We start from the raw sequence: 14,410 nt of genomic DNA, 5'->3' as shown, positions 1-14,410 counted from the left end.
TTCAATGATAAAAAAAAAAATGAGTATCAAGCCTTGGAAAGACATGGATGAATTTTAGATTTTAAATGCACATTGCTAAGTGAAAGAAGTCAGTCTGAAAAGGCTACATACTGTATAATTCTAATTATATGGTACTCTGGAAAAGGCAAAACGATAGAGATGGTAAAAATATCAATAATTGCCAGGTGGATCAGGGGGTTGGGGAAGGTAGGAATAGGTGAATCACAGAAGATTTTTTAGGGCAGTGAAACTATTGCCCTAAAAACACTACAGTGGATAAAAGACACTACACATTTGTATAGAACTTTACAGCACAAAGAGAGAACCTTAATGTTTACAAATCAGGAAAATGCTTTAGTACATCATGGCATCCCAGGATAGAATGCACACTGTGACAAAGAATGCTAACCATGTTATGAGACGATTAAAGAATCTCCCTGAAGGGATCGGGAGAAAAAGGTACTGACCTAAGTAACTTTGGAAATGAAGCCTGCAAGGTTAACGGCAAAAAGGAACCGTATATGAACACTGTACTCTAGTTGATAAAGTTGTTTTCCATGGGAGTGCTTATTAATAATTGTGATACTGCAATACAGGTATATTGGAATAGGACAGTTAAATAAGTAAAGAGTAGATGGTAGAGGCCAGGTTTCTCATCATTAAGTGGGAGGTTATAGACAAGAGAAGGCAACCTGAATGATCCATATAATAGCAGATTGTAGTTGGAGACATCAGTTGAGTAGAGCACATATTGAGGTTAATAGAGATATAGATGGTTACATATACATAATATATATAACGTTTATATTTACATATTTACAAAAATATTAAATGTGTGTAAATCCATACACATATGTATTTCCTTGCTTTGCCAACTGAGAGGGCCTAGAAGGAACAACAGCCCAGGAACAACACATACACATAGGGCCAAGATTTTGGTTTTTAATACTATTCTCAATTTAAAACAAAACAAAACAAAACAGGAATCCGTATAAAAACGGCTGATTCTAGGATAGGAGCAGGGAATCTACAAAATGAACTTGGAGCATCTTGTAGTTCCAGAAGGAAGGAAGTGTTAAAGAGACAGACAGGGAGAAAGAAAGAGAGAGAGAGAGAGAGATGGTGGTATATTAAAAGGACAAGAAGCCAGCTGAAAGCATTCCCAGAGGCCAAAGCTGAAACAATTTGAGAAATAAGATAAAGTGGTATTGGATTATTACTCAGGTACAATACAAATATCCATGTTATAAATAAATGATTAAACAAATAAATAAAGGTGAGGAGAAGAGACAAATCTCTCCTGAAAAGAATTCCAAATAATTTTGTAGCTACTCCACCCTCAAGGAAAGGGAGCACAACTTCTCATTCCTTAAGTGTGGGCTGTACAGAATGACTTGTCTTCAAAGACTACAGTCTGGAAGTAAGTGGAGGTGGGGAGAGAGTAACTTGATAGTGAAGAAACCAAATGCTACCTCAGGCAGGAATCAAGGTTAACATCAACAGTGACAAGTTATGTGATGGTGTGGACCCTTGATGTGATGTAATGAGAATGACTTTACCTCTGTCATCTTCCTCCCTAAAACTGTAACTCCAATCTAATCATGAGAAAAACATCCGATAAATCTCATTTGAAGGACATTCTACAAAGTACTTAACCAGTGCTCCTTGAAACTGTCAAAGTCATTAAAAACAGTCTAAGAAATTGTCAGAACCAAGGGGAGTCTAAGGAGGCATGATAACTACATTCAGTGTAGTATCTTGGATGGAATCCTTAAACAGAAAAGGTACATCCTATTTTTAAAAATAAGGATATTGAATGCATTATGGATTTTAGTTAATAATGTATCAATAATGGATGATTAATTGTGTCTGATGTATCACACCAAGGTAATATGTTAATAGGGCAAATAGATGTAGGATATTTAGAAATTATCTAATATCTTTGCAATCTTCAATCTAAAATCTATCAATCTAAAACTGTTCTAACATTTTTTTAATTTTTTAAATACATAAAACAATATACAAATACACATTATGCAAGAATATATATAAAGAAACAGATCCAGAACAAGGGGAGATGTACCTCTTTGGCTAGGAGAAGAGAATGGCAGCAGGGTATAGAGATAAAGGAGAAAGCAGGAAGGTAGAGGCAGGGCTAACTCATCTGTTGGTCCAGTAAACACAATGCCTTAGGTCCAAGGTACTTTTTAAGGAGTCATAAAATATTTAAGTTTCTTTTAAAATCAAAATGAAACTAAGAACTCTTTGGGTTGATGAAAAAGTTTTAATTTGTTTTTCACACATCAGGAAAAAAACGAAATTTTAAGGAAACACAAAAATCTATCATAGCGAGAAAGACCCACACAAACAAAAGTGACTAGGGCCCACAAAAGTCATGGTATGTCCTTGGGAAAAAGTGGGTGGAGAAGGAGCCTGAATTGCCACAAACCGGGATAATAATATGCTGTGAACTAAGAAGAACCACTAACTCATTTCTCTGCCCCTAAGGCAACAAATTAAACAAACCAACTAACAACAAACACTCCCACAGTTGAAGTACCTGAAGAAGTCAGAGTTATCCTGAGAGGGGAAGAGAAAAGAAGTGGCAATCGTGTCTGAGATGACCAGCCTCCCTGGACACACAGGTCTTGAGGGGCCACCAACCAAGTGTTGAAGGCTGTGGCTGACACCTCATCACACACAGCCAGCCCTGTGGGGAGGGGTGGGCACTACACTGATTTCACTGGTGCACAGTAGGGCCTGAGTGTCACCATTTTTAAGAGGATCCTCAGGTGATTCTGAAATTTGGCCATGGTTGAAAGTGTGCCACTGAACTGTTTCAAGAGTAGCAGTGGGGATTAGGAAAATCTTGTACGTTTCAACATTTGGAGTATTATGTGGTCACATGACCAGCAATCCAGCCATCTTGGCAGGAAGGTGTCCAATATTGAAACAGATAAAGGAGAATATGGAGAGGTATGCCCCAGAGAGAGGGAGAAAATACAAACACCAAAACCCTTTAATTATGCATTCACACTTGAAGCAAGCCACTGTATAAGGTGCATGGAGTCCAACTGGGAAAATCATGCTAGTTGGAGCACCTCAGGTAACCATTTACAGTAAAGCCAAGGAATCCTCAAGTTCTCTCCATTCTCTAAGATCATTTCCAGGCTTGAAGGAAGAACTGTAACGGGTTGCCCCTGGGTGCCACAACTGAACCACTTAGGACCAGTATCACAAGGACAGGTTTGAGAATTGAGAATTGTTCCTGGAGCAACTCAGACCTCTGAGGGCAGCCCCTGACCTACAGGCTCCTCAAAAGGAGTCCCTTGCTCTGGTTAGAGTTGAGTTGAAAGCTACAGATTTACTTTCAATATGGCGGCCCTGATGAGCAGCAGGACCTAGGAACACACATTCTGGCGTTAATGACTTCCAGTTCTAGGGTGGTTCAGTATGAGAACATTTTTTATCATGACCTACACTTTCCAAGCTTTTTTTTTTTTTCAGGGAAGAGTCCTGTAAGTAGATAAGGACATGTATTAATACAATATCTGACATAAGTAGATTAAAGAAGAAGAAATATGTTCAAAGGATACATGATTCTTAGTATAAGTGGATTAAAGAAGAAAAAAATTCAAAAATAATGTACTTTGATAAAATACTAAAATAGAAGAATAGAGGAAAACTGTTTTACCATAATAAAAGCCATCTATTTTGATCTAAAAGTCATATTCATGTTAAAATAGAAATAAAATAAATATATCCAGTTTTACTATTATTCATATTCTAGAAATTCTACTCACTGAAAGCAAAAATAAGATAGCAATAAGATACATGTTAAAAAATAAATGATAAAAAATGTCTGAAAGTATTATTTCATAGTTAGATAACCCAAGAGAATAAGCTCGGAAATTATTTTAATTAACAAATGTTTGATAGGTAGCCTGATGAAAGATGTGTGTACACACACACACACACACACACACACACACAGAGAGAGAAAGAGAAAGGAGAAAAAGAAATTCTCATACAGTAACTGAAGTTATAATGAAAAAAACTCTAATCCACAATATCTTCAGAAATGCGATTATAAGGAATAATTTTAATGAGAGACACCTGTGATCTATTTGAGTAAATCAATATTTTACTGAAAGTCATGAAAACTTGAATAAGTGAAAAGCAGCATCATAATCTGAGATGAGCAGCAGCATGTTTTGAACGTACCAATTTTCCCAAAACAATTTATGTTTCATATAAATCTAACCCAAATCTCAGCATGTTTCTTTTTAACCTGACAAAGTGCTCTGAATGTCACCTGGAGGAAACAGGTCACAGATGAAACACAATTTTGAAAATGTATAATTATGGGGGAACAATCTTATCATCAGATATTAATGCATATTATAAAAATGTAGTATGAAAGGCATATAATACTGCCAGAAACTAGACAGACAGCAAAATGGAACAGAAGAGTCATATAGTAACATAGAAGAACGGTTAGCGATAATAATAGAAAGAACCTGTGAGACCTGAGAATTAACAATGGTAGTTTGATAATAATTTTTCCAAATTACTATCCTTAACATTACACCTTGAACCTAAATAAATACTAGGAATATACCAAGCACGTAGTTGACAGTGAGTAAATAGTTGTTAAATGTGAAAGTTAAAGGTAAAACTTAAAACCCCATGAAAAATAAAAGAAGAAAATTGTATATGATATCTAGCAGACCTCTGGAGATGGAAAATGTCCTAGCCTACAGGAGAAAGAAGCAATCACGAGGGAAGAGATGAACAGATTTTGTATGAAAAAATTTTAAATGTATATATGACAAAATATAAAAGGATAGCCTTGGAAAAGAAATCGTATCAAATGTAACAATATGTTCGCGCTTTAACTTACAGAAAGTTTATGTAATGGAATGAGAAAAACACCCAACTATAACAGGCACAATAAAATTTTGGAAAAAAAAAGAAATACAACTAATTGAAACATTTAGAAATTGATTCTCATTAGTATAGTAGTCTCCCCTTACCCGAGAGGAATATGGTCCAAGCCTCCCGGTGAAGGCACGAAACTGCATAGTATGGAACCATGTATATACTATGATTTTCCTATATAAGCATAGTCGTGATAAAGTTTAATTTATAAATTAGGCACAGTAAGAAATTAGCAATAAGTATTAATAAAATAGAACAACTACCACAATATATTGTAATAATAGTTATGTGAATATGGTCTCTGTCTCTCTCGAAATATCTCACTGGACCTTACTCACCCTTCTTGTGATGATGTGACATGATGAAATGTCTACGTGATGAGATGAGGTGAGATGAATGGCGTAGGCATTGGGATGTAGCGCTGGGCTAGTACTGTGGACCTTCTGATGGTAGCTCAAAAGGAGGATCATCTGTTTCAGGTGATCCTGGGCCAAGATGATGAGGACTGCTGGGCGGGTGGCATCTACAGCAAGGGTACACTGGACAAAGGGACGGAGCCAAGCAGTGTGAGATTTCATCACACTACTCAGAAGAGCACACATTTTAAAATGTGTGAATTGTTTATTTCTGGATTTATTTTTATTTTATTTTATTTTTTTTTTTTTTGAGACAGAGTATTGCTCTGTCACCCAGACTGGAGTGCAGTGGTGCGATCTTGGCTCACCGCAACCTCCATCTACCCACGGTGAAGTGATTTTCTGGCCTCAGTCCCAAATAGCTGGGATTACAGGCACCTGCCACCACCACCTGGCTAATGTTTCTTTGTTTGTTTGTTTGTTTTGAGACGGAGTTTCACTCTTATTGCCCAGGCTGGAATGCAATGATGCGATCTTGGCTCACTGCAACCTCCCCCTCCCGGGTTCAAGCGATTCTCCTGCCTCAGCCTCCCCAGTAGCTGGGATTATAGGTGCCCACCAGCACGCCCAGCTAATGTTTTGTATTTTTAGTAGAGACGGGGTTTCACCATGTTGGCTAGGCTGGTCTCAAACTCCTGACCTCAGGTGATCCACCCGCCCCAGCCTCCCAAAGTGCTGGGATTACAGGAGTGAGCCACCAAGCCCGACCTATTTCTGGAGTTTTTGTCTAATATTTTCTAACTGTGTTTTACCGCTAGTAACTGAAACTGGGGAAGGCAAAACTGGATAAGGGGGGACTACCATATTCTGTTCTGTGTGAGTTGTTCTTTCACTTTCTTGACAGTGTCCTTTGAAACACAAATGTTTTTTCATTTTGAAGATACCCAATTTATTTATATTTCTCTTTGTCTTTTTGTGTTTTTAGTGTTATGTCTAAGAAACCATTGCCTAACCCTTTCCATGCATTTTTTTAAATGAATGCATATAGTAGAGGAATTTTCCATAAAGATTGATTTCCTGGCTACATAAACTCTCTGCCCATTCTGTCTCCCCTTTTCTGGGTAAATGTGTAGTTACCCTGTAAAGGAAGCCTTGGATAGATGCAGCACAATATAGAATCTCCAGAGATCACAGAGTGGTAGATAAAATCCGACCAAATACCATTGCAGCACCTACCAGGAAGTTGGCACCCCTTGTTTCTTAGATATACCTGTGATATGATTTCTAGTAAAAAAAAAAAAAATCCCAATGACTGTTTTTCTCCATAGGTTCTTACCATGGAAAATCAAAATGACTGGCTCCTTCAAATAAATCTTACCTGCAGCCTTGCCAAGTCTTCATCTTGGAAACAATGAGCCTGCTTTATATACTCAACACTAGATAGACTTTTATATAACTATGCTGATTGTGAAGCTGATGTTGCAGCATACGGTAAAGCTTAGTAGATAACGTTGGATAAGGAAAGGAGAGTAATCTGTAAATGTGAAGAAAAAAGACTGGAAGGAAGTACACCAAAACATTAATAAGTATTGCACAAATGCTGGAGGGAAGAGCTGCCTTTTACCTTTTATCTGTACTTTATAAATTACTTCAAGATAAATAAATCATGAATTTTATTAACTTGCATTGAAAACCATTTACAACCTAGTCTCAAACTCTATTCAGTATATTTTTTAAGCCTTTCCCCAGATCGGCTCCACTATCAAACTACCATTGTTAATTCCCAGGTCTCACAGGTTCTTTCTATTTTTATGCCTTTGTTCATGATGTTCCCTCAACCTCTAACGCTCTTCCCTCTCATCTCAGCCTGACAAAAGACTGCTCATCTTTCAACACCTAGTTCTAAGACCTTGCACCTTCTCTTTGAATTCTCCACTGAAAAATAAGTATTCTTTCTTCTAGAATTATTTTATAATTTTCCTGTTATCATGTTTCCCTTTTTCACCTGGCCATGAATAGAACTGTGTTTGACTGGTGTCTCCTTCTAGAAATGGAAGCAACTCAGTGGCAGTGCTTAAGTCATAAATATTTCTGATTTTCTCCCAGTCCTTAGTAAATGTTTCTTAAGCTGCACTGGCCATGAAGTAGCATGATAGCATGAAAATAGCAAAGAGGACACAGAAAGTCAAGTGGATGTCATAGAAAAATTGGGAGCACATGAACTTCTGCAGTGGCCCATTCCTTCTGCAAAGGAGCTGCTGTTCCCTGCCACACAGGGCAAGCACAGGACATGACTATGTGTCTGCAGCATGCAAGACCACCATTGTCTGAACTCAACTTACACTGCAGGTAAGAAAGAAGCCTTGCTGCAAGCAAGTCACTTCCCTCTGAGAGCTGGCTAGAAACCTTTCCTCAGTCATCTGCAGCAATTCCTGGTACTGGCAAGTTTTTGCTAATAATGATAAAACTCATAATGTTCGTTCTTCAGAACAAGATAATCTCCAGGTATCATTATTACCTCTCACAGTTGATAAGACTGAAAGTAGTAGAAGTTGTGCCTTCCTAAGAGCAGTGCGTCCAATCCTTGATGTGATCAGTACTCAAGCCTGAGTCATCTGACCTCACGCCCACTGTTTTCTCTGCTTTCTTCTCATTCATTGCCTTCAAAAAGTCTTGGGAAATGGAAGGTGGTCCACGTGGGCCAATGCATCATTCAAAGCTATGGTGGAACGAGGAAGAGGAAGAACAGAAATAGTAAGATACAATTCTCCCTCTCCTCATTCAAGAAATTTGTAAATATAAATTACAGCTTCTAGCAATGAGCAAAAAGCAGTCCTCTGCCAGTTTAAACAGGGTCTACCTCTTAGATTTCAATTAATAGTGTATAGAATAGTCTGAGTAACAAACATTAAAATGGTGACATATTTTCAGGCATTGGATCACAGAAATGAGGCAGGTACTTTTAAAAGTACATGAATGTATTTTCTGAAATTATGCTGCCCTGTGGTCTCATGACAAACCAAGCTTTCATTCATTCACACAGTCATTCATTTAACAAACGTCTATTGGGGACATCTGCAGTGTGCCTGATGCTGGGCAGCATCTCAGTTGTATGTAAAGCTTCAGAAAGTTCATGCACCCCAATTTAAGGACACTTATCTAGAAGGTGCAAGTATCTTATCCTCATTGAAGTAGAAAGAAGAGGGGATTAACAAGCATGGAAGCTAAGTAACAGCTTCATAAATTAACAAATAAGCTTCTCAATGGACAGCCTAATTGTCTGGAATCAGTTTATTTACATAAGTGATTCTGAACTGAATTAGCTAATAAGCTACCTCGCAGAGCTATGATTGAATTGGCTTCAGGACAGATACCTTTTGCAGAAAGGAGAAATTTGTTCAAAGAATGAGTGCCCTGCCTCTTCCCCCCTCCCAGTAGAACTTCTTTTCTGTTGACTTTAAATTATCCCAAGTGCCACCATCTAAAATCATGTCTATTGAAACTGATGTTTTAAAGCTGATCAAATTCCACATCCACACAGAACCAGAGCTATAACAGCGATGTTGGCAAACATCTGGTCTCTAATCAATAATTACCGGCAGGCATAAAGAGTTGTTTTTACAAAATGGAATAGTCTATCTTTGCACTTCACCTTCAGGACTTGTCTTTGTTATGCTGAGAAGCAAACACTACATTGCAGACTTCCTCCAAAAGTTTCCTTCCCACTCTACCCCTGGCAGATGTTCCCCAAATAAATCGAGGTGTCATGCAAATGTGGAAGGAGTGAGCCAGGGAGTTGGCTAATGAGAAATTGAACAAGGGAGACACAGAAGTCTGTGAAAGCCCGGGAGTTAGTGTAGGTAGGAAAATGCTTGGGAGTAACCTGATTAGAAGAGGGTAGGCCTGAGTCTAGATGGATTAGTGGTCATCTGTAGAGCAGGTCAAGGAGAGAGGCCAACAGAAGCCTGGGGCTCACCACCTGGGAATGGTCCATGCTGGGCGTGGAGCAGCTTGAACTAGGAAGAGCTGGGCAAAGTGATAGGGACACTGCAATAGAGGTGGGTCGATTCCAGCACGGGGACAGAATGTGAGTAAAATCAAGAACATCTTCCACTTAAGATAATTAGGTAGAGAAAAACAGGGGTTAAAAGAGCTCAATTTAGAAGGTAAACAGGAGGCTCTAGCATGAAAGCATCACCCTTTAAGATCCAGACTAAACTGTACATAGTTGGCCTTTAAATCTAGTTGAATACAACTTATACCCTGACAGATGCTTTACTGAAATAAAGGTGCTTTGTTTATTCAAGACAAACAGCCAGAGAGAATGGCTACCAATGCCTCATGCAAAACACTGGATTTCATACAGAAATATACCAAGTGTTCAGTAAAACATATTAATTAATTCTGTATCTGCAAGAAAGGATAAATCTGTCCAAATGATTCTTACCTAATATTCTGTTTCTTTCCTACTCAAGTACCAAACAGGGAGGGAACAAAAACCAAATCAATGTACCTTTTTCATTGAAACCTAGAGATTTTAGATTTTGTTTAGCTCTTCTAGTTCCGATTCTTTCACTGATATCATGGCAGATATTGTGTGTTATCTCACTTAACAGGCATCCAAAACCCCCTTTTCTAGACATTATAATGTAAAATATTCAAATGCCCAGCCTCCCTTGCAGGTCAGGATGATTATATAACTCAGGTATTGCCAATAATAAAGACATTCCTGGAGAGGGTTGTCTTTCTTGAGCCCTGAACAGCTACTTATTGAGATTCCTTCCAACCTGGAAAAAAAAAATAAAAAAGTAACCTGTTTGTTTATTTCACATTATCAGGTTTTATATATATAGATAGTCTTGTCAGCTCAAGCTACTATAACAAAATACCATAGACTGGGTGGCTCACGCAACAGAAATTTATTTTCTCGTAATTCTGGAAGCTGGAAGTCCAAGATCCACATGCTGGCATTGTTGAGTTCTGGTCGGAGCTCTTTTCCTGGCTTGCAGACAGCTACATTTTCACCATGTTTTCAAAAAGCAGAGAGAGAGAGAGAGCTAGCTCTCTGGTGTTTCTTCTTCTAGGGGGACTAATCCCATCTTGAAGGCCCAACCTTATGACGTCCTCTAAACCTAATTACTTTCCAAAGGCCCATCTCCAAATACCATCACATTGAGGTTAAGATTTCAACATACAAATGTGGGGGTGGGGGACAAACCTTCAGTCCATAAATTTGTGATAGTTAATTTCATGTTTCAACTTGTCTGCTGCCTAGACACTTTGTCAAACCTCATTCTGGGTATGTCAGTGAGAGTGTCTGGAGATGAGATTGATGTTTGAATTCATAGACTGAGTAAAGCAGATGGCCCTCCCTAATGTGAATGGACCAGCCTCATGTAAACAATTGAACACCAGAAGAGAACAAAGAGGCTAAGAGGGAACTCCTCCTGCCTGACTGCTTTGAACTGGGACATTGGTCTTTTCCAGCCTCAGACTTGGACTGAGACATCGAGTTTTTGTAGGTTTTGAGCCTGCAGGCTTTTGCACTGAAACTAAACATTGGCTCTACTCATCAGTCCACTGTTTAAGGAATTGGGGTACTATTTTCTGGTTTGCAACTTATAAAATATACATACACATATATATATGTGTGTATATATATATACACACACACACACACAGAGAGACACACACATACACGAGTACATAAACAAAGACACTTTTTTTCATCAACTTTTAAGTTCTGGAGTACATGTGTAAAATGTGCAGGTTTGTTACATAGGTGAACAAAACACAGACACATTTTAAAAATAGTTTGTTAAGAGCCAGTTCAGCTTGTGATTAAATTCCAAGTTGACTGTAGGGACAAGTGAGAATTGATTGTAGGGACAAGTGAGAATACTAGAATACTCTAGTATTTAGTGACAAGAAAAGCTTTGCCTGAGGACATAGCACATTTATAGTAGTGGTCATAAGCTTGCTCTCTGAAATCACTTGTAGATTTGCTTCAATATGCTGCCACTTACTAATCACCTGAGGTCACGAGTTCGAGATAAGCCTGGCCAACATGGTGAAACCCCATCTCTACTAAAAATACAAAAATTAGCTGGGTGTAGTGGCACGCATCGGTAATCCCAGCTACTCGGGAGGCTGAGGTAAGAGAATTGCTCAAACCCGGGAGGTGGAGGTTTCAGTGAGCTGAGTTCGTGCCACTGCACTCCAGCCTGGGAGACAGAGCAAGACTCCAGCTCAAAAAAAAAGAAAAAAGAAAAAAGAAAGAAAAGAAAATACCCTGCCACTTAGAAAGTAATAAATACTGGAATTTTATTTCCTCTTCTGTGAATCATTTTCCTCATCTATAAAAAGGGGCAATGCCCTACCACACTCAGCTATCAAGAAGCTTAAAGAAAATTTTCTATGTGATAATGACCATATTCACACTAACGTATGACTTTTTTCTGCTTTCTTGACTCTGATTTTTATAGTCCAATTTAATTGACCTTATTTTTCAAATTACTCAAGGAAATGTGTAGGGAATGATTGAACAGGTAAATATGCCTTCCTGTAACTGCATTTTGGTAGTTTTTATATGATCTAGTGACTAAGAATTCCAGGAAACATCCTCAGTTTCTCTACTTATATTATTTGGTACAAGAACAAACTTTAATGTGGCTCAAAATGTCCCAATTGAACAACTTAATACCCACGGCCAGTATGATTGTGAGGATCCATTAGGCTTTACATGACTTTCAGTTCTTTATCTTTTCACTAAACAGAAACCCTAAGTGTCTCTTCCAGAGTAAACAAAAATAGAAGGGATTCATTCCAAATCTCAAATGTACCACCAGGTTATTTTTTTTTCTACACCTTTCTAAGTCATCATGAAAAAAATGCCTTTTGAAACAGCATGGTGTTCCTGCTCTCAATATTGCTTTTACAGAAAGGTTGAGGACCATTACCTCTTGAAGTCAAAGGAAGTTGCCAGAGAGTGTGTCAGGGGGTAGGGGAGAGGAGGGATAGGTAGAATAAGATAAAACTCTGATGACCTAACTCAGGGACTATAATCGGGAGAGCTTTCAAATTACAGCCAGGTACAAAAGAGACAATCTCCAAAGCAGTTTGTCAACGTTTTTTGTGCTAAAATAATGTGCCTGGAGATTTTTCTTTTTGATTGCAAACAGATCAAACTTAGTTCAAGCAGTGGGTAATTCTAGCATTTTCAAATACAGAAGACACTTTCTTACCTCCCACAACATCTAAAGTAGACACACCACAGGTAGAAATGGTGCTGGCACACAGTGGGTAGCATTACTGCTGGGGACTACCAGATGCCTCTCCAAATACAGTATTTCAAAGCAGCAATTTCAAACCATGCAATATAAAGTTTCTAGCTCTGCTTTTAAGTTACTTTCTATTTGTTATCATCCAAGCAGAAAGCCTGCAATAAATCACTTTTGTTATTAATGTTTATCTGACTTCTGTTCAGGAGAGAAAAGATGTATAGTCAGTTGCCATGTACTTTGTTGGTATTTAGGTAAAATCTTGAGTAAAAATCTTTGATACACCTCAAACAACTGAGGAAGAGGCAGCAGTAAGGCATATAAATAAATCAGCATCGTTTCATTATCCACTTGTTCAAACAGATTGGTGTCCTGGCGCACCTCCTTGAGCATGGCAATTCCGAGTTGCAGGTGTCAGCTCCTATCTGCCACAGTACCTGCCGTGGGTTCTCTCATCATTCCAGAATCACTACACTCAGCAGCATTTTACCCAAAGACTGAAAAGGGTTTCGTGTACAGTAAGTCACCAAAACCCAGACACAAAACAGAGGAACGGATTACCTTTTTCTTTTTTCTGTAGAGACGGAGTCGCTCTGTCTCCCAGGCTGGAGTGCAGTGGTGGAATCTCGGCTCACTGCAAGCTCCACCTCCCGGGTTCAAGCAATTCTCTTGCCTCGGCCTCCCAAGTAGCTGGGACTACAGATGCCCGCCACTACGCCTGGCTAATATTTTTTTTGTATTTTTTAGTAGAGATGGGATTTCACCGTGTTAGCCAGAATGGTCTTGATCTCCTGACCTCGTGATCCGCCCGCCTCGGCCTCCCAAAGTGGTAGGATTACAGGCGTGAGCCACTACACCCAGCCATGGATTCCCTTTCAACTCGTCACATACAAGGAAGAGGCTAACTTCATGGAGGGATTTTGAAGAAAGGATGTACAGGGAACAGCAGTGTCTGTCCCACCCACTCCCCCCTTGTGTGAGAGGGCAGCATCTCGATCCTACATCAAGAGCAGGTGGATGGTGGCCGGAGTCCAAAGTCCACAGCGTCAGTGCTGGCTCTGCTTCTTGTTACCTTTGTGTCCTTTGGCAAGTCACTTCCCCTCTCTGAGGCTCAGTTTCATTAAATCCCAATGCAGACTAATAATAAAACAAACATAAAAATGCACTACGTCCTTGTATGTGTTAAGCAATACGCAAGACACTTTATTTGAAGTATCTCTTCCAATTTTTCAAGGAACCCTATGAGAGTAATGTTATTATTGCTAATTTATAAATGTGGCAACTGAGGCTTAAGCAGGTGGACTCATTTGTCCAGGTCATATATATATAGTACGTGTGGAGCCTCCACACGCCTCCCAAACCCATCTTCTCTCTGAGAGTAACACTGCCCCTCTGGAGATGATATTCTTCCCTTTTTCCCCAGGTAGTCATGAAACTCCCATGAAAGCAGGTGTAAAAACTGCCCTAAATGTACAGCATGAGTGTCATGTAGCTTTGTAGAGCGTCTTCATATAACAGGTTACCAATAATTACAGGAAAAAGGAAGGGAGAAGGGAGGGAAGAAAGTAGAGAAGGGGAGATGGAGGGGAAGGGAGGCTTTTTGTAAGAGGGAAGAAGAGACAAAGATAACTTAGTCCAGAGTAGTCTTTGATTCCAAGGATGAGTAAATAATCACAGCCAAGCGTTTAGTAAAAGGTGATTTATGACCCTAGAATCCTAAATCTTATAAGACGAGAAAAGTTCAAAGAACGCCACGATCAGGAGATGCTGGGCGCAGCTGTGGAAAATGTTTCCAGCACATGGTGCCCCATGGGTAACCCCACAGCACCCCTG

General features: G+C 39.1%; 1 long non-coding RNA gene across 1 annotated transcript in view; it reads right to left on the bottom strand.

Annotated features, from left to right (window-relative positions):
• Positions 1–5,202: 5,202 nt before the first annotated feature.
• Positions 5,203–14,410, bottom strand: part of LOC124900612 (uncharacterized) — a 36,890-nt gene continuing 27,682 nt past the window's right edge. The window contains exons 3-4 of the long non-coding RNA XR_001751670.2: positions 7,816–8,016; positions 5,203–5,480 (exon numbers count right to left, since the gene is read on the bottom strand). This is a non-coding gene — a long non-coding RNA (uncharacterized LOC124900612). The remainder of the gene's footprint in view (positions 5,481–7,815; positions 8,017–14,410) is intronic.

This window comes from Homo sapiens, chromosome 15, assembly GCF_000001405.40.
Source record: "Homo sapiens chromosome 15, GRCh38.p14 Primary Assembly".
Taxonomy (NCBI): domain Eukaryota; kingdom Metazoa; phylum Chordata; class Mammalia; order Primates; family Hominidae; genus Homo; species Homo sapiens.
The sequence above is the reverse complement of the archived record's forward strand: the minus strand, read 5'-3'. Positions and strand labels throughout refer to the sequence as shown.